Below are 24,685 nucleotides of genomic sequence, written 5' to 3'. Positions count from 1 at the left end.
GAGTCTGTCTCAAAAAAAAAAAAAGAAAGTTTTTGTAATAAAGCCAGAAAAAAGTTGTAAAATATATAGTAATTATTCACATTCAAGGCTGTATATCAATACATATAACAACGTGGCCCCGAACATGAATTCAATACAAATAATTCATATATTAGAATTTAGGCCGGGCGCGGTGGCTCATGTCTGTAATCCCAACACTTTGGGAGGCCAAGGTGGGTGGATCACGAGGTCAGGAGTTCAACATCAGCCTGGCCAAGATGGTGAATCTCCGTCTCTACCAAAAATACAAAAAATTAGCCAGATGTGGTTGTGGGCGCTCGTAATCCCAGCTACTCGGAGGCTGAGGCAGAGAATTGCTTAAACCCAGGAGGCGGAGGTTGCAGTTAGCCGAGATCAGGCCACTGCACTCTAGCCTGGGCGACAGAGTGAGACTCCGTCTCAAGAAAAAAAAAGAATTTAAATAACAGGCTGAACTAGAGGCCAACAATAGCCAGCAAATAACCTTCTATAAGATTAAAAACACAAAAGTGTATATCCTAATACCATTGTATTATTTGTTTTCATGAGTTCTTTTAATTTTTGCTTTGTCTGTACATCACAGTTACAGCTACAGACCAGGTAGAGAATATTACGCATGTTCTGACTGCCACCCACCTGAAAGACGTACTAGTCATTTATCCTATTTCATGTTGTGAAGGAACAGCTACAGCAGCTCTAAATACTGTAACAATTTAATTTTGCCAACATCCAACTTAACAGTCGTAATAGAGGCTTTTACCAGCACAATGACCCCTATTCGTAGTCATTCTGCCAGACGGTTAGGCTATGTGGGTTACACAGCTTAAAAAAGGTCTGCCTTTTGTAAAAAGTTCTCTGTACATAGTTTGGTGTTTCTTCATATGGAAGAAATGAGTTATGGGGAAAATTCAGGTACACACGTAGGCTCGTTCAGTTGCTCACCACAGCCATCTCAACAGATGAAAGTGCTCTTTGTTGGAAACAGCTTCCTCCTCACACCAGTTCTCCACAGGCAGCCTCATCTACAACCCTGCAATTTTGGGCCAGAAGTGGTGGCCCCTCAGAGGCTCTGAAGTGCCTCCAGCCCCGATTCAGGCACTTGCCACGTGTGCTGCGTAAGAAGGGACCCCACCCAGTGAGTCAACATAGGCTCATGTCAAGTTTGAAAATAACTGGGGAAAAGTGTATGACAACATCTTCCAGAACATAGTACCTTCACCGTATTCTCACAGCAGCTGCGATCTCTGAAGTCTCAGCAGTGAGCACCCCGGGTCTGTCAACCAGCCAGGCAAGGGGGGGCCCTCAGGCTTCAGAGGGCAAGAAACCAAATTCCGTGCAATTTGGCCATAATCTCTGGTAGAGTGAAGCAGCACTGAACGCAGTGCCTAGAAAAACCTCCTGCACGTTCCCCTGCACAATCAATGGACCCCAACTACAGTGGAGAAATGAAGAATCCAACCAAATTTGGGTGGTCTGGACTTGCTGCCAGCCAGGCAATCTGCAACACTGTGGGCAGGGAGATGGGGGGAGGCGGCCTGAAATCTACACCAGCTGGGACAACCACGCCCTACAATGAAAAAGCCAGCCTGGCTGCTGGGCTCTTGTGAACCACTAAGACCTGAAGGTGGGGGGGTGGAAGGGGGAGACAAATGCACTCTTGTAAAACCCAATCAGCTACGTGGTTTTTTTCAAGTAGAGGCTTTGCTCTGCTACTGACTCCAAATGGCCTAATGTACTTTCTGAGTCTATAAACTTAATTACAGATCACTCACTAAGCATGTGGCAAGGTCAGTTCAACACTTGTTATCTCTGCTGACTGCGCAGTTGCAAATTCAATACCATTGTGGACATGAAGTACAAGATTCTGAAAATATCGCCAAGCGCTTGAAAGCCACGGCAGCAGGGAGGGCAGAGAGCTGACATGCAGGCAGAGCCAGGTTCTTGCAACCAAAACAAGGAAATTGGCTCTTGGAAAAAATCGGCCACAAATGGATTGCAGTAGTGACATCCTCTTAGCATTTAAATAAAGAGCGGTCTTATTCAGACATTCTTTGGAACACACGGCTTATCAGAAACCGATTTGTTCAGAATCTGTAAGACACAACTAAGGTGGTTCTGCTACTGGAACTGAGCGTCTACACATCAGGTCGAGAGAGAGACAGAAATATCTTCAAAATGAACAAACTCTTTCACCTCAAAATACCACTTCCAGGCATCTAAGGGGAAAAAAAGTAAGAAATCAGAAGATTTTAAAGATATTCATCACAGCATTATTTAAATAGTGGAAAAATCAGAAACCGTCAAGTATTTTACAGTAGGGAAATGGTCAGATAAATTATAGTAAATGGACAATGACTAAATAGTACAATTGTTAAAAACATGTTTCTGAGAAACTCATGACATGGGAAAATGCTTAAAATATCAAGGGAGAAGACGATGCAAACGGTGTGTGTCGGATGTTCCTATTTTAGTTTAAAAAGTGAACAAATGGCAGGGCAGGATATACGGCAAAATGCTCACAGTGGTCTTCTCTGGCCGGTGAGCCTACAGCTGATCTTGTCAGAGACAAACGTTAGTTTTACTGAGTCACCCAGAGCCCTGTGCTGGTGCCTGAGGGTTTGTTCCATGGGACAGTCTCCACAATTCCTCTGGGGAAGGGCCACAAATCCCACAGTGTGTCCCAAGAGGGCTGGAGTAGGCGGAGTCCCCAGCAGCTGTGGCATGACCAGCCATCTCTCTCAAAACAATTGTTAACAAGCCTTCTGCAAGTTAAGGTTCCACATGGTAGCCGTGGTACAGAGGCATTTCTCTAGGGTGGAGAGGCTTGTGCTCTACACCAGGACTGCCCACCGCCCTGGCTGGGGCCACACAAAGAGGGGAGAAAGGAATCCCTCAGAAGCCAGCCCCCAACTGTGTCCCAGAGAAAGGCGGGGCACCTGGGACACCTAGGCCGGCAGCGACCACAGCCTCCCTCCACTTTGTGCCGAGAAGCCGCACAGTGTGGTCCCGACATTCCACCTGTCCTTGCCCATGTGTGGGGAGGCACATGGCCCCAAGTCTATTAAACAGCAAGTGAAATCTTCCTCATCTTGGATAAACCCACAACTGTAATTCCACGTAAGTGTGTCTATGTGCACACACAGTACCCCACGTTCTACCGTAGAATGTAAGGCGCCTGCGTGCCAGGTGATGGCTCTAAGGATGTGGTAGAGAAAACCGGAGTAGACATGAGCAAGCACAGGGTAAGGAAAGAAAACACACGGGCCTTTCAAAAGGGAAGAGCAAGGTGAGGAGAAAGGTGACCCACAGAAGGGCTTGGCTGTCAGCTCAGGCAATGGCATCATTTCGGCTGGCGGCTGCCAGCTCTGGCTCTGAGCCCCTAGTTCTGTGGCTTTGGAGGTTAAGATGGAGCTTGTCAGTGACGCCCAGGAGGTGGTGGTTCTATCCAGAGGAAGAACGCACGGAAGAGTCTCCCCAGGCAGCCCAGCCGAGTGCTCCAATTAAAGCCACGTCCCTGCTCCACTTGTTTCCCTATAACCAGACGCCCTGAGAGATACGTTCTGAGATGGGTAAAATAGCTGATGAGGAGGAGGAAGCCTGAACAGAAATTCCTGAAAGGGCTAAGAGAGACTCCCCAACACAGCCAAGCCTTTCCAAAAGCCAGGAGGAGGAGAGAGGACTCCGACTCCGGCCACAGGCCCAGGGCAACGTGCTGGGCCCCGGAGCGTCCTGCTCCCTGGGGCCCCAGGGTAGGTGCGGCCCAGCTCACCCCAGCTCACGGTCACAGGCTCACATGCAGCTCTCACACAGCAGCAGCCAAGGCCCAGGCAGGAACCACAGGCAGGGCCTGGGGAACATCTCTGCCCCCTCCCAGGCCCCGTCTGTACTCGCTTAGCTAAAAAGAGCCACTCTCGTCATTAGCAGTGTAAAAACGACACCTTCCCTCTCAGTTTGGATCTGGCCTGGCACACAGGGTCACTGCTGAGTCACCTGTGACTTGGGGGTAGGGACCAGGGAGGGTGGACACAGTTGAGTCAGAGGCAGGTCTGTGGGCAGCAATGTCTGCCTCTCCCCCACGGGAGCTGGAGAGCAGTGGCACCGTCACAGCTCACTGCAGCCTCAATCACCTGCGCTGAAGCCATTTTCACACCTCAGCTTCCCAAGTAGCTGGCACCACAGGCACATACCACCATGCCCGGCTAATTTTTTTTCTTTTTTTTAGAGACAGGGTCTTGCTAATGTTGTCCAGGCTGGCCTTGAACTCCTGGATTCAAGCGATCCTCCTGCCTCAGCCTCCCAAAGTGCTGGGATTACAGGTGTGAGCCACCATGCCTGGCCATAATTATGCAGTTGTAAGGTCAGCTGATTAATTCATCTCTCTATATAATAACATATGCACAGGTTGGGAGATTAGGATGAGAACATCTGTGGAGAGGCCATTATTCTGACTTTTAGAGAGAAGGGCCTAGGACAGGAATTCCCAGTGCTCAGGTTTAAAGGAAATACAATGTTTCTATCACCGGTACATGAAGGTGCCCCTTTCTCTGCATTCCTACCAACACTGGATATTTTCCACCTTTGGGACTTTCAGCAGTTCTGGAGCCAGCCCATTTTACAGCGGGGATAATTGAGGTTTAAGGAGGGGAAATTACTTGCCTAAGATCTCATGCAACTTTCTGTTTCCTGACTCCCAGTCAAGTTTGATTCTCCCTTGGCGTGGCTTATATGGGAGGATATTTACCTGGTGGCTTGGAAACCACTGAATGACTTTGTCATCTTCTATCCATCCATGTATCTCTATCTGCAGCCCAGCAAATGTATATTGGGAGCCTCAGACATGTGACCAGGGCCTTGTGGGCCAGAAGAAGGCGGGAGACCATGCTGTTGTTTTTGTTTTGTTTTGTTTTGTTTTGAGACAGAGTCTCCCTCTGTCACGCAGGCTGGAGTGCAGTGGCTCAATCTCAGCACACTACAACCTCCGCCTCCCTGGGTTCAAGTGATTCTCACACTTTAGCCTCCCTAGTAGCTGGGATTACAGGCATGCACCACCACTCCCAACTAATTTTTGTATTTTTAGTAGAGACGGGGTTTCACCATGTTGGCCAGGCTGGTCTCCAACTCCTGACCTCAAGCGATCCACCCGCCTCACTCTCCCAAAGTGCTGGGATTACAGGTGTGAGCCACCTGGCCTGGCCAGTGCTCTTGTCTTTTGAGAGCCCCCTTTTCTCTCACCTGATCTCCCTGCCCCCTATTTTCCCCTTTAGTCTCCTTTCCAGACGCTACTGAGTAGCTGCAGGGTCAGTCTAGAAATGCCAACCAGGTTGGGATCCTTGCTGGGAGAGCCCTTCCTTCCCTGGCTTTGTAACTCAGGGCCTTCTGGTGTGCACACCTGCAGGGTCCAGGCTGGGCCTGCCCTTCTAGCTTCTCTCTGTCTCTCCCTGAGATTGGAATCCTGGCTCTGTCCTCAACTAGCTTGAAGGGGGGCCCCCAGGAATGGCCCCTTCTGGATTTCATACCCTTGTGTAGTCCCGTTTCACTTTTTATAACATTTAAAATTTTTTTTTTGGTTAGAGACAGGGTCTCACTTTGTTGCCCAGGCTGCTCTCAAACACCTAGCCTCAAGCAGTGCTCCTGCCTCAGCCTCCCAAAACACGCCCGTTCACTTTCTACCAGGGTTGTTGTGTGTGACTAGCAGATGTGTTGGAAGTGATGATGTGTCACTTCCGAGGTTAGGTCATTAAAGACGCGGCGGCTTCTATCTTGTGTGTGTTCTCTTTCTCTTGGGCCACTCGCTCTGGGGAAAGCCAGCTGTCGGGGCTTCAAAATACACACGCCTGGGAAGAGGCCTCACTGGTGAGGGACAGAGGCCTCCAGCCCATAGCTGTGGGAACGTGGGAATGAAGCTTTACGTGCATCCTTCGGCCGTGCTCTAGCCTTTAGATGACTCAGTTCTAGCTGCATTTTTTTTCGGGGGGTGGGGGACGGAGTCTTGCTCTTATTGCCCAGGCTGGAGTGCAATGGTGTGATCTCAGCTCACCGCAACCTCCGCCTGCTGGGTTCAAGCGATTCTTGTGCCTCAGTCTCCTGAGTAACTGGGATTACAGGTGCCTGCCACCATGCCCAGCTAATTTTTGTGTATTTTTAGTAGAGACGGGGTTTCACTATATTGGCCAGGCTGGTCTCAAAATCCTGACCTCCTGATCTGCCCGCCTCGGCCTCCTAAAGTGCTGGGATTACAGGTGTGAATCACTGCACCTGGCCAGCCCTGGCAGCATCTTGATGGCAAGTTCACTGAGCCAGACCACCCAGCCCAGCCTCTCCTGGATTCCAGACCCACAGGAACCATGAGTTAGACGTCTTTGTTGTTTTACACATTTAAATTTTGGGGCAATTGGTTACACAGCAGTAGATTACTAATACACCAGCTGTAGGGCTTTGGGCACGTTCCTTAGCCTCTGCACCCCATTTCCTCCCTCGTGCCATGAGCGTTGTAGAGGTGAGTGAGGAACATGTAGACACAGCACAGGACCACATACGTGAGGCAGCTTTCCAGCCCCTCTCGAGATGGTTCTGGTCATCCTCTTGCCCATCCCTGGATGGACCGTGACTTCACAACATCAGGCCAAGTTATTGCATTCTTGTCCTGAGGTCATCCATTGGTCATGGACAGAGGTTCTGGGTAGGAAAGGATGAGATAAAGAGTGGGGTCAGTCTCCTTCCTCCAGCCTGGGTCCGGAGAATCTTGCTGGGCCAGGTGAGACATCCGCTCCCTGTGTGGTGTCCTAGGATGGGCAGCTGGACCTGACCAGTGGGGAGGTTTCTCTGTGTCTCCAGAGGGCAGAGGGGCTGCCTGGTCTGGCTTCCCTTGGGCTTGGCCAAGCATTCTGGCTGCCACTGAGGCCTCCAGGACAACTGAGAACTGTCCTTTCTTCCTTGCCCTTCAGCTGCCCCTGTCTTCTCTGCCCCTGGTGCCTGCTCAGCTGCTTTCTTCACAGGACAGCCTTCTTGTCACCCTTGGCCCCTGCCCCGAGGCTCCTCCACCCCAGGCTCTGTGTTCTAAAGTTCACCGTGTACAATTTCCTCAAGTTGTTTCTCCTTCACTGCTTCCCTTTTCTCTGTTCATTACTCAAGATCTGCATGGCCATGTGTCAGTATAAAAAAAAATAAAGTTGGCCGGGCGGGGTGGCTCACCCCTGTAATCCCAGCACTTTGGGAAGCGTGGTGGGCAGATCATGAGGTCAGGAGTTCGAGACCAGTCTGGCCAATATGGTGAAACCCCATCTCTACGAAAAATACAAAAATTAGCTGGGTGTGGTGGCACGCACCTGTAGTCCCAGCTACTCAGGAGGCTGAGGCAGGAGAATTGCTTGAACCCAGAAGGTGGAGGTTGCAGTGAAATTGCCATTGACTCCAGCCTGGGTGACACAGCGAGACTTCGTCTCAAAAAAAAAAAAAAAGTTAACCCATTTCAGTTGGGTGCAGTACCTCACGCCTCTAATGCCAGCACTTTGGGAGGCCGAGGCAGGCGGAAAGAGCGAGACCATCTCAAAAAAAAAAAAAAAAAAAAAGAATTGCTTGAACCCAGGAGGTGGAGGTTGCAGTGACTAGAGATCGAGCCACTGCACTCCAGCCTTGGCGACAGAGCAAGACTCCGTCTCAAAACAAACAAACAAAAAAACCTAAAATACAAAAAACACAAGCAAAAAATCATGATTGACATTAACAACTACAAAAAGAAAAACAAACAAAAAAAAAACCGCCACAAAATCATTTATAGGTAAGGACAGAAGTTCTGAGGCTGCCTCCAGGACTATGGACAGTGGTAGGATTGGTTGTTTTCCGCTTTATGAATGTGACTTATAGCCCAGATTTCCTTCCGTGAACGCTTGTTAGTTGTGAAACTAGCAAAGTTGCGCCTCCGCATTTACGCAGAGCCGGCTCCGGAGTCCGAGCCCCGGGTTCGAGCCCAGCCCCGCTATTACCTCGGGCGTGACCTTGGCCGGAGCCAGGTCCCCTCTGAGCCTCAGTTTCCCGGTCTGGGAGCTGGGAATGACAGCTCGCCCCACCCCCGCAGAGCCCCGCCCCCGGGGCCCTGGGATTGGTTCGCGCGAGGTCCCCCTGCCCAGGCGGGGCCGGGCCTCTCCCGCCCGCCAGGCCCCAACCCGGAAATGCAGCTGGGGCAGAGGCGGGGCCCACTCAGACCGCGGCGAAGGGACGATGGGCGCGGCCAATGGGCGCGGGCGGCGGCGGCGGTGCGACGGAAGTCCTGCCTGGCGTCGCGCGGGGGCGGGGCGTCGCGGGGGGCGGGGGCATCGCGGGGGGCGGGGCGTCGCGGGCACAGCGTGAGGGCCGCCGTTGCTGGAGTTCAGCTTAGGGAAGGAGGACTCTGAGGAGGCCCCGAGCGGCGGAGCGCTTCGGGGGAGGCGCCCGCGCAGACGCGAGGCCCATAGCCAGGACCACCACCTAGCTGGTGAGCGCGCGGCGAGGCGGGGCGGCCCGGGGTCCCGAGGGTCGGGTGCCGCCTTACCTGCGGCCGGGCGGCCGGGCCGGGGATGGCGGGCGCCGGCCGAGGGCGCTGCTTGGCTGCGGCGGGGAGACCGGGCCTGGGTTGCGTCGGGCGGCGGCCTGGCCGGGGGCGCTGACAGACGCGCGGAGGGCGGGGGAGGCCGGGAGGTGTCACCCGGCCCAGCGGGGTGGAAGTGCCTGGAAAGTTTGTTTTCGGCTTGGCGCAGCCTGGAGCCGAGCCTCCAGGGTTACCTTTCGGTTCTGTCTGTAGAGGAACCGCCCTGGGCTTCCACCTGGAACGGGGTCCTTGGCGCCTCCGCCTGCGAGAGAAGCAGAAGGTGCAAGTTCTTGCTGAAAGCACCTGATGCTCCTGGGCCCCCTTTTCCAGATTCTTGATGACATTGGTCGGGAAAACTCGCCTTTCACGGCCCGGCCAAGGGGCATTTGGGTGCTTTTGCTGCCCGTGGCTGTGCTCAGCGTTGTGGGAAGCCCCTGGGAGGCCGAATGTGCAGGATCACCGAGGGGAAAGTGAGCTTGACAGGTAGGAGGGATTTTAGGGGAAGGATCAAAACAAACCACTTGTTGGGTGAAATGTTTTGCTAAATGTATCGCTGGTGTTTATTTTCTCTCTGTCGCTAAAAGTATCCCTCGTGTTTTTATGTTTTCCATATGCTAAGTTCTACAGTCTGGGGACGACGGTTTAAAAATTTATGCCTTGCATGCGATGTGCAGTGGGTGATGGAAGAACGTCTACATGGCTTTAAAATTGGATTTAAAAGGCAAATATTTTAAATGAAGGAAAACCCAAGAAGTTTACTTGATTCCTTATCTTCCAGGATGCGACTTTTGTTTATTTATTTATTTTATTTTGATGGAGTCTCGCTGCCGTCGCGCAGGCTGGAGTGCAGTGACGCGATCTTGACCCGGGAACCTCCACCTCCCGGGTTCAAGCGATTCTCCTTCCTCAACCACCCGAGTAGCTGGGATTACAGGCGTGTGCCACCATGCCCGGCTAATTTTTGTGTTTTTAGTAGAGACCGGGGAAGGTATGGGCCCTCTTTTGAGAAAAATGCAGAGTGACACTGAATTTTGTAACTACATCAGGAGGCTCTTGAACCTTCTGCAGCTCACTCGTGGAGTTTGTAGAGATGCGTAATAATCCGAAGTGTTAAGGAAGAAGGTTCTGTTGAGAAAAAGTTGGAGGGCTGAAAGGGATGCCTTTCGCTATTTCGACATGTGTGGCTGTACCCCAGAGTGCCCTGGCTAACACGCAAAACCATGAATTAGGCGGCTTGGCGAGGCTCAGTGGAGGCTGGGGCCGAGAGTCATGTCAAAGTTTGTGGGGTTAACCTGCACCCAGTGACAGTCATGGCGAAGTTTGTGAGGTTAACTCGCACCCAGTAACGCTGTTCCAATGCAAGGTGTGTATTTGGTGTCATCCACGGGAAGAGGAAACAGCAAATTTTCTCATGGCCTTGGCAGTTCCACATGATGGACATTTCATATCTGCAGTTTTCTTCGCATGAGATGGCTTTTTTGCACAAAAACACTGGAATCCAGTGAGCAAGAATGATAGAATGCAAGATGGATTTCCACATGAGGAAGTGTCACGAACAAGCGTTTTGCATCTCTGTCAGCTGGATTCCCCCATGTGTACGTATGTGAGAACATGCCGTGTTTCCTGTCTGTAATGGTAGAGGCAGCCCTGATACTGGATTTTCACCTGAGGATGGATAGATCTTCAGGGTTCAAGTGGGTTTGCATCTGGACTTTAGGGTGGCCCTGTAGGCCCTGTGTGAGAAGCCCCCTTCCCAGTGAACTTTCCCTTGTGTGCCCGCGTGGACAGCCAACAGGGGGAGCAGTGCGAGCGTGAAGGCAGACAGTGGCCTGGCCCAGTCTGATGGTAAGTGGGCCAGAGGCAGTGAGTACCATTTCTTGATCTGACTACTCAAGACAGGCGCTTCCCTAGGTACTTTCACACCTCATTGCGAGGTACGTGTTGTTCCCATTTTACAGGTGCAGAAGCTGAGCTGCAGAGGCGTTAGGTACCTGCCTCATAAGTGGTAGAGACTCCAGTGTCACCCTGCCCCTCACGTTCGGAGCCCCCGAGGGAGGGTCTGCCGGGCAGCTCAGCCCAGCACTCTGTAAGGAAATCTTCAGTGCCACTGCCCAGGATGTCTTCCCGGGGATTGGGCCTGAATGTCTTGACCATGCCGTGCTGGAGGTAGGAGGGGTGTCTTCATATGGAAGAACTGTACATATTTCTTTGGCAGATGGCTGAACTCTGTGACCCCGGGGCCTGTTTCAGCCTCCTGCTGTCAGAAAGCAGCTGTTTGGGAAGAGGCTGTGATTCGGCCTTGTTTGAGGGCCGATACTCTGAATGGGTGAGGCTTGGAATCCTCCCTTTGGAACAAAGAAACATAATGATTTTGCTGAAGGTAGAATTGGGGGACTAGGCAGAGTGGCCTCCTGCCCTCCCTGGGGTGGTTCTGTCTTTTGCAAAGGTGGCTGCATCCTTAGGGGAAGGTGAGGGGAGAAGCAGGGAGCATGGAGAGAAGTGGCTTTCGATTTTCTCTCTCCTTTTGGGGAGTTCCTCCTTATGTGGCTGGTCTGGTGCATAGTGTGATGTATTCCTGTACGCAACGTTGCCCTGACAGCCAGTCCAAGCTGAGTCTAGAGCTGGCAAGGTGAGCTCCCAGTAGTAAGAGGGTGTGGGCGGCAAGCCACCCAGGCACCGAGGCAAGAGACAGAGGACACGAGCTGTTCCAGTATAATAAAATATAAAACAAGAATAGTTATACCAGATATAGATCTTAGATATGATTATATATGAATATCATTAATCATGAGTTTGCAGCAATTACTTTTTATTCCAATATTATGATAATCCTCGCTCTATAATCATAGCCTAGGAAAAACCAGGCCATACAGAGGAGCTGAGGGGACATAGTGAGGTGTGACCAGAAGACAAGAGTGCGAGGCTTCTGTTATGCCCGGACAGGGCCACAAGAGGGCTCCTTGGTCTAGCGGTGACGCCAGCGTCTGGGAAGACGCCCGTTACCCGGCGGATCGTGGCCCAGTGGTAGCAAAAGGTGTCAAGGAACAACACTCACTACTTAGCAGACCGGGAAAGGGGCGGGGGGGGGGTCTCCCTTTCCCCGGGGGAGTTTAGAAAAGACTCTGCTCCTCCACCTCTTGTGGAGGGCCTGACATCAGTCAGGCTTGCCCGTAGTTATCCGGAGGCCTAACTGTCTCCCTGTGATGCTGTGCTTCAGTGGTCACACTCCTTGTCTGCCTTCATGTTCCATCCTGTACACCTGGCTCTGCCTTCTAGATAGCAGTAGTAAATTAGTGAAAATACTAATAGTCCCTGATATGCAGAAATAATGGTATAAGCTGTCTTTCTCTCTGTCTCCTCTCCCTCTCTGCCTCGGCTGCCAGGCAGGGAAGGGCCCCCTGTCCAGTGGACACGTGACCCACGTGACCTTACCTATCATTGGAGGTGACTCACATTCTTTACCCTGCCCCTTCTGTCTTGTATCCGATAAATAACAGCGCAGTCAGACATTCGGGGCCACTACCGGTCTCCGCGCATTGGTGGTAGTGGTCCCCCGGGCCCAGCTGCCTTTTCTCTTATCTCTCTGTCTTGTGTCTTTATTTCTACACTCTCTCATCGCCACACACAGGGAGAGACCCACCGACCCTGTGGGGCTGGTCCCTACATCTGGCGCTCTGACGTGGGGCTCTCCCTCGCTGTGTGAAGTTGCACCCTGAGTGCGGGATCAGCGGAGGAGTTCAACGAGAGATTCCTGAGGATTGCAGTCTATAAACTTGGTGGTAAGCTTGAGCACTCAGTTTTCTGGGGACACCATGGGACAGGCCAGTACAAAGTATTTGGCTTATTTAAATTTTATAAAAACTCTTCTTAAAGAAGGAGGTGTTAAAGTTTCTACTGAAAAGTTAATTGAACTATTTGAGGTTGTAGATCTTCTTTGCCCTTGGTTTCCGACTGAGGGAACTCTAGAACTTAAAGATTGGGTTGAGATTGGCAAACAATTCAAAATTGCTCATAAAGGGGGACATTTTATCCCACCCACCATTTGGTCAATCTGGGCTTCGGTTCACTCTGTCTTAGACTCCTTACAGACTCAGGAGGACAATATGGAGACTGATCCCTCTTTCCTCTCCTCTGAGGGAGGTCGAGGAAGCGCTCAGCTCTCTTTCCCCTGAGGATACTACACAAATTGAGAACGTAATTTCAAAGGAGGACTTCCACTCTGACATGCCTGCACCACTTCCACCTACACCAGAGGCTACTGCACCCCCATTGCCGCTTTATGATGATCTTTTAACTGACCTAAATATACTAATCTCCCCCAATCAGCAAAACTCAGCTGAAACATATCAACAGCCATTGCAGCCAGACCCTCCTGTCTCTCCTCACTGTTTCAACGCTGCCGCTGTGCAAATAGCAGATGAGACCAGGCAGCCTGTAAACGAGTCTATAAATTATGTTTCTATGCAGCCCGGTACAGAGGCTCCGCTATATGAACAGCTCAGAAAAGAGGCTTCCAATTCTCGGCCCGGTAATGAGGCCCTCAATCCTATTTCTCCTAATCGGACTCAGTTAGAGTCACAGACTCCCTTGAAGCCCTTTCCTATAAATCAGACTCGAGTAGAGTCACAGTCTCCCTTGAAGCCTGGTTCCTTTCCTGCAAATCGGACTCAGAGTCACAGGCTCCCTTGAAGCCTGGTCCCTTTCCTATAAATCAGACTTGGGTAGAGTCACAGGCTCCCTTGAAGCCTGGTTCCTTTCCTGCAAATCGGACTCAGAGTCACAGACTCCCTTGAAGCCTGGTTCACACTTGCCGTGGCAGCCTGGTTTTCAGGCCCATGAAAGACCTGCTCAGCAGGTAATCTGCTGTCACCCTGGCTTTCAGTTTTTTGACTCTCCTTCTATTCAAAATTCTACCTCTTTTTCTGCTCCTGGTCCGGTCGCAACTGCTGTTGCCAATACTACCATTGCCGCTCATAAGCAACAAATTACATACATCCCTGAAGATGACACTCCGCTTATGAGGGCTATAGTTCAAGCAAGGGAATATGGGGATCCTGAAACTTGGCAATTTCCTGTAATTTTACAACCTCCAGTACCTGCCACCCCAGCAGTACAAAACCACCCACAGCCTGTTGTTGATCCTGCCCAGCAGGCGGCTGACCCCGCAGCTCAACAAGATCAAGAGGCTGATAATCAAGCCCCTCAGCCCGAAACTCAGGCTGCTCAGGTAAATAATCAGCCTCCGCAGTTGCCTGCTCCTGGGGCACAGCCAATACCTGGCATTCCCGCTGTTCAGGTGGTAATTCAGCCTGACCCCATCCATCCAGGCCAGGTTCAGCTACGCCCTGCTACATGGGAAAGTTTTTCTTTTAAATTCCTCAAAGATTTTAAAGAATCAGTGAAACAATATGGCACCAACTCTCCTTTTGTCCGTTCCACATTAAAAGCCTTAGGAGAAGATAAACGTTTGGTACCCTATGATTGGGAAATTTTGGCAAAATCAAGTCTTATCTAAATCCCAATATTTACAGTTCAGGACTTGGTGGGTTGATGCTGTCCAGGAACGCATTTGTCTTAGGGCACTAATCCTCCTGTTAACGTTATGGCTGACCAGTTACTGGGAATGGGTCAATGGGCCGCAATCCGACACCAAACTATACTAAATGATGAGGTTATTGAACAACTGCGAAAATTGTTGCTTAGATGCTTGGGACAAAATTCAAGATGATGGTAAAGTATGCCCATCTTTCACAGCCGTCAGACAGGGACAACATGAGCCCTACCCAGACTTTATTACTCGTCTTCAAGACGCAGCAGAAAAGGCTATTCCTGATAGCCACGGCCAAAGACTTGTTGTAGAACTTATGGCTTATGAACAAGCAAATCCAGATGGTCAGGCGGCTGTTTGCCCCGCCAAAGGTAAAATTCCACCGGGTGGTGATATACTCACCTCCTACATTAAAGCCTGTGAAGGGGTGGGAGGAACTCTCCATACAGCAACGATTATGGCACAAGCTATGGCCTCTATTCGAATGCCTGGACAATTCTCTGGCCAATGCTTCATATGCGGCCAGAAGGGACATGCAGAAAGAAATTGCCCTCGGCGTGCAGGTGGCCGTCCTTTACATCACCACCAACAACAAAAAGAAACTTTTCAGCAACAAGACACCCCACCTTCTGCTGTATGCCCACGAAGCCAAAAGGGTCTTCACTGGGCATCTCAATGCCATTCCAGATTTGATATTGATGGCAATCCTGTACGGCCTTTTAAAAATCAGGGAAACGGGATGAGGGGCCGGCCCCAGCCCCCTCTAAACAATGGGGCATTCCTCAACTCTCAGCCGCTGGCGTCCAGCCAGACAGGAGCCTTCCCAGTTTAATCCATTCAACCTCCACCCCAATTCCCACTTCAGCAATTTGTGCCACAGGATCTAATGCCTCAGCCCCAACACCAATCTCAGTACAATGCTTGTCCCCCGTCACCACAGGCTCAGCAGCAGTAGATCTCTGTTGTACCAGAAATATTTCTTTTGTTGCCTGGAGAGCCACGTATTGCTGTTCCTACAGGTGTTTTTGGTCCCTTGCCGACTGGCAGTGTCGGGTTGCTACTGGGACGTTCAAGTTTAAATTTAAAAGGTGTTCAAGTACATACTGGTGTAATTGATTCTGACTATTCAGGTAAAATTCATATTATCATTAGCTCTGCAGTCCCTTGGAATGCAGCAGCTGGGGACCGCATTGCTCAACTCTTGATATTTCCTTACATTCCTTTGGGATCTAGTTCTAGTACAAGAAAGGGAGGTTTTGGTAGCACAGATTATCAAGGTAAAGCAGCCTACTGGGCCAGCAAAATTTCTGACACTCGTCCTGTGTGCTCCGTGCATATTCAGGGAAAAAAGTTTGAGGGAATGATTGACACGGGCGCTGGTGTGTCCATTATCGCTTTACATCGATGGCCCCGACACTGGCCAAAGGAGCATGCCTCCACAGCATTCGTGGGTGTTGGTCAGGCTTCACAGGTATATGAAAGTTCCACAATTTTACATTGCACAGGCCTGAAGGACAGATTGGAACTATTCGCCCCCTCATTACACCCATTCCTGTTAATTTGTGGGGAAGAGATCTTTTATATCAATGGGGGGCTCAGATTACTTTTCCTAAAGGCAGTTACAGCCAGCAGAGTAAAGATATGATGACCAAAATGGGATTTGTTCAAGGTCTGGGTTTAGAAAAATCAGCACAAGGCATCACTGAGCATATCATACCTACTCCTAAAGCAGACTCTACAGGACTTGGTTATTCTTTTTAGAAGTGGTCACTATCAAGCCTCCAGAACCCATCCCTTTGACCTGGAGAACTTAAAAACCTGTCTAGGTAGATGAGTGGCTGCTCCCAAAAAATAAGCTGGAGGCACTTCATATTTTGGTTCTTGAACAGTTAAAATTGGGACACATTGAACCTTCTTTTTCTCCTTGGAATTCACCTGTTTTTGTTATTCAAAAGAAATCTGGTAAGTGGAGAATGCTTACTGATCTTAGGGCAGTAAATGCTGTCCTTCAGCCTATGGGGACATTACAACCCAGTTTGCCCTCCCCCAGTATGATTACTGAGTATTGGCCACTTATCATCATTGACCTTAAAGATTGCTTTTTTACCATTCCTCTGGCCCCTCAGGACTTTGAAAAATTTGCTTTCACTGTTCCAGCCCTTAACAACGTTGCTCCTGCAGCACGTTACCATTGGAAAGTCCTACCTCAAGGTCTGCTCAATAGCCCCACTATTTGTCAATATTATGTGGGATGCATATTAAAGCCAGTTAGAGATAAATTTCCCCAATGTTATATTATTCATTACACAGATGATATTCTTTGTGCAGCACCTTCACGCTCTGTATTAATATCTTGTTTTTCTGCATTACAGCAAGTGGTCACAGCAGCTGGCTTGGTTATCGCCCCAGAAAAAATTCACACTTCATCTCCTTATCACTATTTAGAGATGCAGCTAGAGGATAAGGTCATTAAGCCTCAAAAAGTTCAACTCAGACGAGACTCTTTAAAAACTCTAAATGATTTCCAAAAATTATTTGGAGATATTAATTGGATTCGTCCCTCCCTACGCATTCCTACTTATGCTGTGTCTAATCTTTTTGCAATATTACGGGGCAATCCTGATTTACGCAGTAAAAGGTCTTTGACTCCTGAGGCAGATTCTAAATTACGACTTATAAAAAAATGCATTCAACAGTCTCAGGTTACCAGAGTAAATCCACATTTACCTTTTGAAGTACTAATTTTTCCCACTGAACATTCACCAACAGGACTCATTATTCAGGGACATAATTTAATTGAATTGTGTTTTCTCCCACACAGCTCTTTACGTACACTAACTATCTAGATCAAATTTCTACCTTAATTGGTCAGGCTCGTTCTCGTCTCCTTCGTCTTTCAGGAACAGAGCCTCAAAAAATCGTTGTTCCCCTTACCCGATTACAAGTTCAACAGGCTTTGCTACTTGCATTGCTTGGCAAGTGCATTTGGCACGTTTCCCAGGTATAATTGATAATCACTATCCTCATGTAAAATTATTTCAGTTCCTTAAACTCACGTCTTGGATTTTACGTAACATTACTAGAAACACCCCATTACCTGAAGCTGTCACTGTTTTCACTGATGCTTCCTCTAATGGCCGAGCAGCATATACAGGACCCAGAGAACGTGTTCTTAACACAGGGGCTATTTCAGCACAACGAGCTGAACTGCCTGCTGTTATGGCTGTCCTTGAAGATTTTCCTGAGCCAGTTAACATTTTCTCTGACTCAGCGTATGTCGTACATGTTGCTCGCAACATTGAAACTGCCTTAATCAAATTTCTGCCTGATGATAACCTATTCCTTCTTTTTCAAAAGTTTCAGTCTGTGCTCAGAGCAAGGTCTTCTCCTTTCTACAGTACTCACATTCGGGCCCACACACCCCTCCCCGGACCCCTCTCGGCAGCAAATGCCAGAGCTGATACATTAGTTACTCCCGTTTTTACAGATGCAGAAAATTTTCATGCTTTAACTCACGTCAATGCTGCGGGACTCCGAAACAAGTTCCCCCTTACATGGAAGCAAGCTAAAACTACTGTGCGTCACTGTCCTACTTGTCAAGTGTTAATTTTACCACCACTGTCTTCAGGAGTTAACCCTAGAGGACTTTCACAGAATGCTCTTTGGCAAATGGATGTGACTCATTATCCTCCTTTTGGCAAGCTTTCTTTTATACATGTAACTATTGATACCTTTTCTCATTTTATTTGGGCCACTTGTGAAACGGGCGAAAGTACAGCTCATGGTAAACGACATGTGCCTTCCTGTTTCTCGGTTATGGGCTGTTCTGAGAAACTAAAAACTGATAACGGCCCCGCCTACACTAGTGCTGCTTTTAAAAAGTTTCCTCAGACATGGGCAATTACTCACACAACGGGCATTCCCTATAACTCTGGAGAACAGGCCTTGGTTGAACGAGCCAATAAAACACTCAAAGATCAACTTCGTAAACAGGATACTAAATCAAAGGGAGATGCTATTACTCCTCATGCCCAATTAAATCTGGCTCTTTTCACACTAAATTTCTTAAACTTAACAAGAAATCAACCTTTCACAGCCGCAGAACAACATTTCACTGGAAATAAATTTGATCCACAAAAAGGAATGCGGGTATGGTGGAAGGACGTAAAAACTAACACATGGGAATTAGGCACGGTCATAACTTGGGGTAGGGGTTTTGTTTGTGTTTCCCCAGGAAAAGAACTACAGCCTGTGTGGGTCCCCTCCCGACAATTAAAATTGCACCATAACTCCAAAGATGAAACGCTCCCAGAAAGAAAAGGCAAAGACCCATCGGAAACAAAAGAGCAACTTTCACCGCCTGATACATACACTTCATGACATCCACATTGAGACAAAATCTCGCCGTGTGACCTACAACACCTCTCGTTCAACCCCACCTACTTGGGGTCGAATACAGATTTTATCTCATCAAACAGAAAAATTCTTAACAGAAAAAGGAATCCCAAAAATGACTGGTAATATAATTCTGGCTGCCTTTATGGTAGTCAGTGCAGCGGTAAGTATACCACCGGTCGGGGCAACTCAAAATTATACTTATTGGGCATATGTTCCTTTTCCCCTTCTAATTCGGTCTGTCTCCTGGAGGGACTCTCCAGTAGAAGTTTACACTAATAATAGTGCATTCATGCCGATCCCTAATGATGATCGGTTTCCAGCTCAACCGGAAGAAGAAGGTATGCACTTTAATCTGTCAATTGGCTATAAATATCCACCATTATGTATTGGGAAGTCGCCTGGTTGTTTAGCTTATTCTTAACAGAATTGGATGTGGACTGTACCGTCCTTTACAAATGATTCTTATCAAGTATATAATGTGTTCAGTACTAACTCTTTTCAACTTCTCACTGTCAAACGTACCCCACATGAGGCATGGAGAGTTCCTCTCACTACCAAAACTAATAAAACAAAAGGACTGCCGGACTGTCCAAAGAAACCTACAAATGGGCCTTTTATAGTGACTTCAATTTTATGGGATAATTGTAATGCTCCCAAGGCTGTTGTACTCCAAACTCTAGCCATGGGTATTGTTATTGATTGGGCTCCAAAAGGACATTATTGGCAAGATTGCTCCAGCAAAAATACCTTATGCTCGGAGTTTATTTATTCCTTAGATTATATAGAGCATGGGTGGCAGTCTTACACGATGAGACAACGGGTGTCTCCTTACCCATTTAAATGGATGGACACAGGTATTGCTCCTCCTAGACCAAAAATTATTCATCCCTTTTTTACCCCAGAACATCCTGAACTATGGAAATTAGCTGCAGCTTTGTCGGGAATAAAGATATGGAACACTACCTATCAGCTCCTTCGTACTAAAACCAAAACACCCACATTCAACATCACCCTTATTTCTGAATGGGTGATACCCATTAGGAGCTGTGTCAAACCCCCTTACATGCTGTTGGTTGGAAATATAATTATGATGCCTGATGCACAAACTATAGAATGTCATAACTGTAAGCTGTTCACTTGCATTGATGCAACTTTTAATCCCACTACAAGTATTCTCTTGGTAAGGGCTAGGGAGGGGGTATGGATACCAGTTTCTCTACATCGTCCATGGGAGTCTTCCCCCTCTATTCACATAGTCAATGAAGTTCTTAAAGACATCCTCAAAAGAACAAAGAGATTTATTTTTACTCTTATTGCAGTCCTTGCAGGACTACTTGCGGTTACTGCAACAGCAGCAACTGCTGGAGTTGCCATCCGCAGTTCTGTTCAAACTGCTCACTATGTTGAAGCATGCCAGAAAAATTCCTCCAGACTTTGGAATTCTCAGGCGCAAATTGATCAAAAATTAGCTAATCAGATTAATGATCTCCGCCAAAGTGTAACCTGGCTGGGAGATAGAGTTATGAACTTGCAACACCGTATGCAATTACAGTGTGATTGGAATACTTCTGATTATTGCATAACGCCTTATGCTTATAATCAAGATCAACATAGCTGGGAAAATGTCTCAAGACATTTAAAAGCCTGGGATGATAACTTAACCTTGGATATTTCACAACTTAAAGAGCAAATCTTTGAGGCTTCACAAGCCCATTTATCCACAGTTCCTGGCTCACACATTTTTGAAGGCATAACTAAACAATTACCTGATTTTAATCCCTTCAAATGGCTCAAACCCGTCAGAGGATCATTGTTGTTACTGGCATTATTAATATTGGTATGCTTATGTTGTCTCCTTTTAGTCTGCAGATGCCTCTAAGGAGTCCGAAACCAAGTCCGAAGTCAACAACAAGCAATGATGGCGATGGCGATTCTAGTTAATAAAAAGGGGGGAGATGTGGGCGGCAAGCCACCCAGGCACCGAGGCAAGAGACAGAGGACACGAGCTGTTCCAGTATAATAAAATATAAAACAAGAATAGTTATACCAGATATAGATCTTAGATATGATTATATACGAATATCATTAATCATGAGTTTGTAGCAATTACTTTTTATTCCAATATTATGATAATCCTCGCTCTATAATCATAGCCTAGGAAAAACCAGGCCATACAGAGATAGGAGCTGAGGGGACATAGTGAAGTGTGACCAGAAGACAAGAGTGCGAGCCTTCTGTTATGCCCGGACAGGGCCACCAGAGGGCTCCTTGGTCTAGCGGTGACGCCAGCGTCTGGGAAGACACCCGTTACCAGGCGGATCGTGGCCCAGCCGTAGCAAAAGGTGTCAAGGAACACCTTTTGCAAAAGGTGTCAACACCCGCTACTTAGCAGACTGGGAAAGGGGGGCGGTCTCCCTTTCCCCGGGGGAGTTTAGAGAAGACTCTGTTCCTCCACCTCTTGTGGAGGGCCTGACATCAGTCAGGCTTGCCCGTAGTTATCCGGAGGCCTAACTGTCTCCCTGTGATGCTGTGCTTCAGTGGTCACGCTCCTAGTCTGCCTTCATTTTCCATCCTGTACACCTGGCTCTGCCTTCTAGATAGCAGTAGTAAATTAGTGAAAATACTAATAGTCCCTGATATGCAGAAATAATGGCATAAGCTGTCTTTCTCTCTGTCTCCTCTCCCTCTCTGCCTCGGCTGCCAGGCAGGGAAGGGCCCCCTGTCCAGTGGACACATGACCCATGTGACCTTACCTATCATTGGAGGTGACTCACATTCTTTACCCTGCCCCTTCTGCCTTGTATCCAATAACAGCGCAGTCAGACATTCAGGGCCACTACCGGTCTCCGCACATTGGTGGTAGTGGTCCCCCGGGCCCAGCTGCCTTTTCTCTTATCTCGTTGTCTTGTGTCTTTATTTCTACACTCTCTCATCGCCACACACAGGGAGAGACCCACCGACCCTGTGGGGCTGGTCCCTACAAGAGGGAAGTGGTTTGTTCTGCTCTTCTGAGATGTGTTCTTATGAGAAGGATCCAGCAGCAGCCTGCAGAGATGTGGGGCCTGAAAAGAGGCCTTGGGCAGCTCTTCTCAACAGGTCTTGGCCCTCTAGACTGCCTTCAGCACAGTTTTGGGGAGAAACAGGGAGTGTTCCTTTTTCAATCTATGCGCTCATCCCCTGAGCCGCCTGACCCAGGGTTTAGATGCTCCAGGGCAGCTGATTGACACCGGTGGGAGATGGAGTCTGGCAAGCAGGTGATGAACTGGGAAGCGCTGCAGAAATGAGGGGGCAAGCGTGGCCAGTCCCTTCTGAGAGGATGTGTTTGGAAGAGAGTGGGCACTGGCGTGGCACTTTCCCCTTCTGTGGAAATGGACTTGGACAGGATGCCACGTAGTGCTGCAGTTCTGTGTGGGGCAGGTTGTGGCTGCAGAGAAGCACTGGGTGCAGAAACAGTCCCCCAAGCAGGTGCGAGGGTCAGGGTGCTCTATGCTGCTCCACACCTGCCGTGCGATGACATGTGGTCACCGGGCTGCCCAGCACAGTTGTTTAGAAAGCAGGTTCAAAGGGCAGTGTGCTGGGAGGAAGTGCTGCTGTGGAAACTGCAAGTTTTGGACATGAGTTGCTCAGGTCTTTTCAGCCGTTCATTCTTCTACAACAGAATTGCATTATTCACTTGCTCAGTGTGATACCATGTCCTTTAAAAAATTATTTGAATATTGAGAACAGGTTGTATGTTCCGTCTCTAGCTGCTAGATCACAGGCAGGGCACATCTTCTCAAAGAGTAACAAGGCATGGGTTGTGTGTGTTCTCTTCTCTTAGTGAGGAGAAAGGCCTGTTTGGGTTCATGATGATTGTTGGGGTCTCTTTTCTGTACCTGATGTTGGTTGCACAAAGTCCGTTTCCATTCTCTTAGTCTAGACAATTTTCCTGATATTTAAACTGGAATTTTTGCTCCAAGAAATTCCAGGTCATTTAGAATGTGTTAAGATTGAGTTTCTGGGCTACACATCCTTATAAGAGCACCCGATTCTGGTTTCTGTTTATTTATTTATTTTTTCGAGACAGTCTCGTTCTGTCACGCAGGCTGGAGTACAGTGGCATGATTTTGGCTCACTGCAACCTCTGCCTCATGGGTTCAAGTGATTCTCGTGCTTCAGGCTCCCAAGTAGCTGGGATTACAGGTGCGCACCACCTACATTATTTATTTATTTAATTTATTTATTGAGATGAGGTCTCACTATGTTGCCCAGGCTACTCAAACTTCTGGTCTCAAGGGATCCTCCCGCCTCGGCCTCCCAAAGTGCTGGGATTACAGGCATGAGCCACCGCACACAGCCTGATTTCTGTTTAAAGAGTTGGATTATACAGGGACCCACAGAATTGGGAACTGACAGTACTGTAGAGCCTGTGTATGAAAAAGATGGACAAGCCTGACATTAGCAGCTCACTGTTGAGCACACGGCCCCCTGCAGAATAAACAAGTGTGTGGTTTCCATCTGATGAAGGTGGGCATGTAGTTCCTGGACAGTCCAGTGACTTCCATCATTCCACAGACAAGATCAGATGCCCTCTCTACCAGCCACCGTGCTGGGACCGGCCCAATCTGTGTTTCAAATCAGCTTGTAGCACGCAGGGATTCAAAATATTTAAAGATGAGGTTTGAAGGTACGTCTGGAGACCAAGGACGTTAGTTCTGGAGGTCCCCGTCTCCTGCGTGTTTGCGGAGCTGGTGACAGTGCCCTCTCCCCGTGCTGGAGAGGGCTGAGGAGAGGCTGTGTGTCTCAGCAGGATGCCAGTCAGGATTCTTCTGGCTATGGGCTTATTTTTTGCAATAAATTCATCGTTAAAGTCCCATTCTTTAACCTGTTTTTTCCCTTTTGGAATTAATTCGACTGCAGTAGGAAGGGGTTGTAGCTGAAAGTGACCGCTGTGCATTGAATGCCATCAGAAAAGGCTGATGAGATTTGCAGGGAAGACTTGAAGCCTCACTGAAATGCGCCTGGCGTGTGTTGACCTTTGCAGTGGAACATGTGGGAAAGGGGCCCGCACTCACTTTTCAGTTCTGCCTCGGTGATTCCAGGAGCCCCGGGGTTGGGAGCGGGGACAGGACCTTGCTCCTGAGTCTTAGGTGTGGTGTCTCTCGCCCCTTGCTGCATTGGCGGGACCCTCGGTGCCGCGGCCTCAGTTGCAGGGCGGCCAGGGCTGCTCCGTGAAGGAGGCGCTCACTCCATGGAGCTGCAGGACGCTGCATTCTCCTCACTCTGGCCATTGCCGCTGTCCTTCCTGCTTCCCCTTTTCTGGTGAGGGAGGGCTCCAAGGACTTGCTGGCTGGTCCCCAGATGCCAGCACTCCTGCATCTTCCCCTCCTCTCCTGGCCTGTCACTTTGTTCCTCCTCTGTGAGGGGCCCAGGCTCGGATGCCCGGCCACGGCCTCTCTTTCCAGCCTGTGCGGCCCAGGTGGGTCCAGGATGTTCCCTGCTGCCCTGTTCTCAGCAGTTCTTGTCTTCTTCAGGCTTTTCCTCCTTGCCTAGAGAAATTTCCCTACATGGAAACCCCTGTGGCTGTACAGTCTTTTCTGACCAATCTGCTGGGTTTTTTGTTTTTTGTTTTTGAGACAGAATCTTGCTCTGTCGCCCAGGCTGGAGTGCATTGCAGTGAAAGTGGCAATATCTGGCATTTGTAGATGGAAGCTGGAACTCAGTACAGGTGGGAACGTAAGCGCCTGTCGTTGCTGAGGTGGGGCAGCAGTCAGTTGCCAGCGCGTGTTCAAACACAGGCTGATTCAACAGTTCCCGTTCTGGGAATTTAAGATCGGAAAATAATTAAAGTGTATGCAAAGATTTTGCTACTAGAATATTTGTCACAGCTTTGAAATAGGGGAGAACTGGAAATATCTTGAATTTCCCTCAGGCAGAGATAGGTAGAAACATTGTGGTGAAGTCTGTGTCGTCCCTCAGGATCTGTGGGAAATTGGTCCCAGGACCTCTCTCAGATACCAGAGTCGGAGGGTGCTGAAGCCCTTGCTCTGAAGTGGTATAGTGTTTGCATATAATCTGTGCACACCCTCCTGTGTACTCTGTCATCACCAGATTACATATAATGCCTAATGTAATGTAAATGCTATGTAAATAGTTGCTTTACTATATTCTTTAGGGAA

At 48.9% G+C, this 24,685-nt stretch overlaps 2 long non-coding RNA genes across 3 annotated transcripts, besides 3 other annotated features; one reads left to right on the top strand and one right to left on the bottom strand.

Moving 5' to 3' along the window:
- Positions 1–6,376: 6,376 nt before the first annotated feature.
- LOC124903627 (uncharacterized) lies at positions 6,377–8,648 on the bottom strand. Of its 2 annotated transcripts, none has more exons than XR_007064945.1 (2): positions 8,546–8,648; positions 6,377–6,693 (listed from the first exon to the last, which is right to left on the bottom strand). It is a non-coding gene; the product is annotated as an uncharacterized LOC124903627 (long non-coding RNA). The 2 variants fall into 2 exon arrangements; XR_007064944.1 differs by lacking the exon at positions 8,546–8,648 and adding an exon at positions 8,001–8,076.
- Positions 7,962–8,351: a silencer, noted in NCBI's record as "silent region_7064". NCBI's record gives its function as "represses an Ori minimal core promoter by ATAC-STARR-seq in GM12878 lymphoblastoid cells {active_cell/tissue: GM12878}" and the evidence as "EXISTENCE:reporter gene assay evidence [ECO:0000049][PMID:35858748]".
- Positions 8,332–23,382, top strand: ERVK13-1 (endogenous retrovirus group K13 member 1). The gene is made up of 3 exons (NR_040023.1): positions 8,332–8,488; positions 9,201–12,360; positions 18,364–23,382. It is a non-coding gene; the product is annotated as an endogenous retrovirus group K13 member 1 (long non-coding RNA).
- Positions 8,362–8,681: a silencer, noted in NCBI's record as "silent region_7063". NCBI's record gives its function as "represses an Ori minimal core promoter by ATAC-STARR-seq in GM12878 lymphoblastoid cells {active_cell/tissue: GM12878}" and the evidence as "EXISTENCE:reporter gene assay evidence [ECO:0000049][PMID:35858748]".
- Positions 11,679–11,895: a silencer, noted in NCBI's record as "fragment chr16:2719877-2720093 (GRCh37/hg19 assembly coordinates)". NCBI's record gives its function as "represses an EF-1alpha promoter that drives an FKBP-Casp9 reporter gene in an ReSE screen in HepG2 liver carcinoma cells {active_cell/tissue: HepG2}" and the evidence as "EXISTENCE:reporter gene assay evidence [ECO:0000049][PMID:32094911]".
- Positions 23,383–24,685: the final 1,303 nt, after the last annotated feature.

This window comes from Homo sapiens, chromosome 16 (genome assembly GCF_000001405.40).
Source record: "Homo sapiens chromosome 16, GRCh38.p14 Primary Assembly".
Taxonomy (NCBI): domain Eukaryota; kingdom Metazoa; phylum Chordata; class Mammalia; order Primates; family Hominidae; genus Homo; species Homo sapiens.
This window is presented reverse-complemented; position numbering and strand designations above follow the sequence as displayed.